The 2281-nt window shown below is 39.8% G+C and overlaps 2 annotated features.

The window, feature by feature from the left end:
- Positions 688-982: an enhancer, noted in NCBI's record as "tiled region #6196; HepG2 Activating non-DNase unmatched - State 8:EnhW". NCBI's record gives its function as "activates a minimal TATA promoter and a strong SV40 promoter by Sharpr-MPRA in HepG2 cells {active_cell/tissue: HepG2}" and the evidence as "EXISTENCE:reporter gene assay evidence [ECO:0000049][PMID:27701403]".
- Positions 1405-1634: an enhancer, noted in NCBI's record as "active region_3396". NCBI's record gives its function as "activates an Ori minimal core promoter by ATAC-STARR-seq in GM12878 lymphoblastoid cells {active_cell/tissue: GM12878}" and the evidence as "EXISTENCE:reporter gene assay evidence [ECO:0000049][PMID:35858748]".

Raw genomic sequence — 2281 nt, 5'->3', positions numbered from 1 at the left:
CGGTCTTTGGAGTGTTGTCCCCAGAGCAGTGCTACCACTACCGGGAAACTTCTTCAGAAATGCAAATTATTGGGCCCCAAAACTTACCATATCAGAAACTCTAGGGCAGGGCCCTGCAATCTGTATTTTTAAAAGCACTTCAGATGACTTTTAGACAAACTAAAATGTGAGAATCACTGTGTAAAGTATTTGTGTAGGCTATGCTAATGGAACACCATATGTTCTCCTTGCCCCATAAAAGGGCATTATAATTTGGGCCTTGGGTGATAACACCCCTCCCTCTTTTGTGCAAACCACAAGATTGTCTCCATTGTTAGGACTTAAGATCAGACAATTTGAAGAGGGTCCACAACACCTATTATATTCAACTGTATAGGTAGTAGTGACTGACAGTAACTATAGCAACACTAGTAATCACAGCAAATCCTGGAGAACATTTAGTAACCCCCTATAACATGATTTACTCATATATATCCCACATATATAACCTTGGAAAGTAGGAGTTATTCTTCCCCTGTAATGAGTTGCAAAAACCAAGTCTCAAAGGGATCAGCTGATTTGCCTAAAGACACTTGACAAGAAAGTGATAAGCCAATGACTTAAATGTGCGTCTGTCTAGCTCCAAACCACTAGCTCCGCAGTCCCACTTATTCCTACAAAGATACAGGGGTGGTCACTGGAAGACATTCTGCTCCTTGAACCAGACCTACCTTCCAAGCAAACACAGCAATGTGTTGACTGCACTTTTGGCCTTCCTGCCTTTCTTCCAGCCTCTGATGCGGTGTTTGCTTTGGGGGTTCTCTTCTCCTCACTGACCAATGACTGTGATAATGCAGTTGGCATTTCCTGTTGCCATGCTGAAGGTGGAAGACAGTGATGTAGTGTGTGAGAGAGAGTGCCTTCCAGATGAAATGCAATGTGTAAATGGAAATTGTCATCATTATCCTCTGAACAAATGGGGAAGATGCACATTGGTTCTAGCAGAACTGGAAGAAAAAATTGGAGTTTGAACAAAAGCATTATTAATTTAAGAAACTGCCTGAATTTGCCTCTGGCAGTTTTCTTTGTAAACACCGTTAACACCCTGGAATGCTTGAATTGTATCTAAATGCATAGCTTAAATATGTAAAAACAGAAACCTAGGCATTACTTTTAGGCACCCAGAGAATTGTTTGCTTCTAAAACCTACCAGAACAAAATAAAACTAGCATATGAGACTTCAGAATTATGAGGGTCTAATATTTCTTATGAAATTGTTTCATAGAATATAGAATTGTTGATCTCCCTTTCCTCCCTCAAAACCAGATATAATTTACAACTGACAAAATACAGCTTTGTAATACTGCTCGTGCAGAACGTGCTTGTATTTGTATTTTTCTATAACATGAACATGGTTTAGAGGGTAAATGGCTGGAGTAAGGGATATCTTTAAGCAACAGGGTTATTTAAGTGGCCAAGTCACAGCTGAGTAACTTTGTAAATGAGCCTGGTAAAGTCAACTCCACAGAGAAGAATATTTGCATATTTATGACCTCATTCTGAAGTGGAAAGCCCCTCGCTCAGGCACCATGGTGGGAGGCATTCAGAGAAGGTAAGTTTTGGACACTAGAATCAAACAAGTTATACTTCCCAAAAGGAAAAAATATGTATGATTTTGAGTGAGGTTATTCTAATTGAAAAGCCATCCCACCATCAGCGAGTTCTCAAGTTTTCCCAAGTAATCTAGAAAGTAAACATGGGCTTGCCAGTCCTCTGGCACCTGCAATGCATTTGGGGAAATCCTGTCTGCATTTGATGTGCTTACACACCCTGGAGCCCCTCCCCTCCCCCATTTAGAAGCACGTAGAGATAGGACAGGTAAAGTAGTTGCTGCTAGCCATGAACCAACCAGTCTATGGGGCAAATTGCTAGTAAACTAGCATCTCCATGGGCCATGAGAGCTTCAAGGCTTGAATCTCTTGCCAAAGTACAGAATAATCATGACAATGACCAATATAGATGGGATCTTACAATGGGTTGGGTAAGCACTTTATATATATTGTATGATTTAATCCTCCCAACAATCTTGTTAAGCAATTTCTTATTAAATTAATAAATGATTAGCAAAGAAATAAATAATATTAAAATGACTATTATTTTCATTTTACAGATGAGGACACTAAGGCACAAAAATTATGTAATTTGCCAAAGGTAAAACAGCTAGAAAGCAACAGGAACAGGATTCAAAGTCAGTCTGTCTCCAGGATCCATAGAGTCATCACTAGTCATGGGAAGATTGGGC

Source organism: Homo sapiens, chromosome 10 (assembly GCF_000001405.40).
Source record: "Homo sapiens chromosome 10, GRCh38.p14 Primary Assembly".
In the NCBI taxonomy this organism is placed as follows: domain Eukaryota; kingdom Metazoa; phylum Chordata; class Mammalia; order Primates; family Hominidae; genus Homo; species Homo sapiens.
This window is presented reverse-complemented; position numbering and strand designations above follow the sequence as displayed.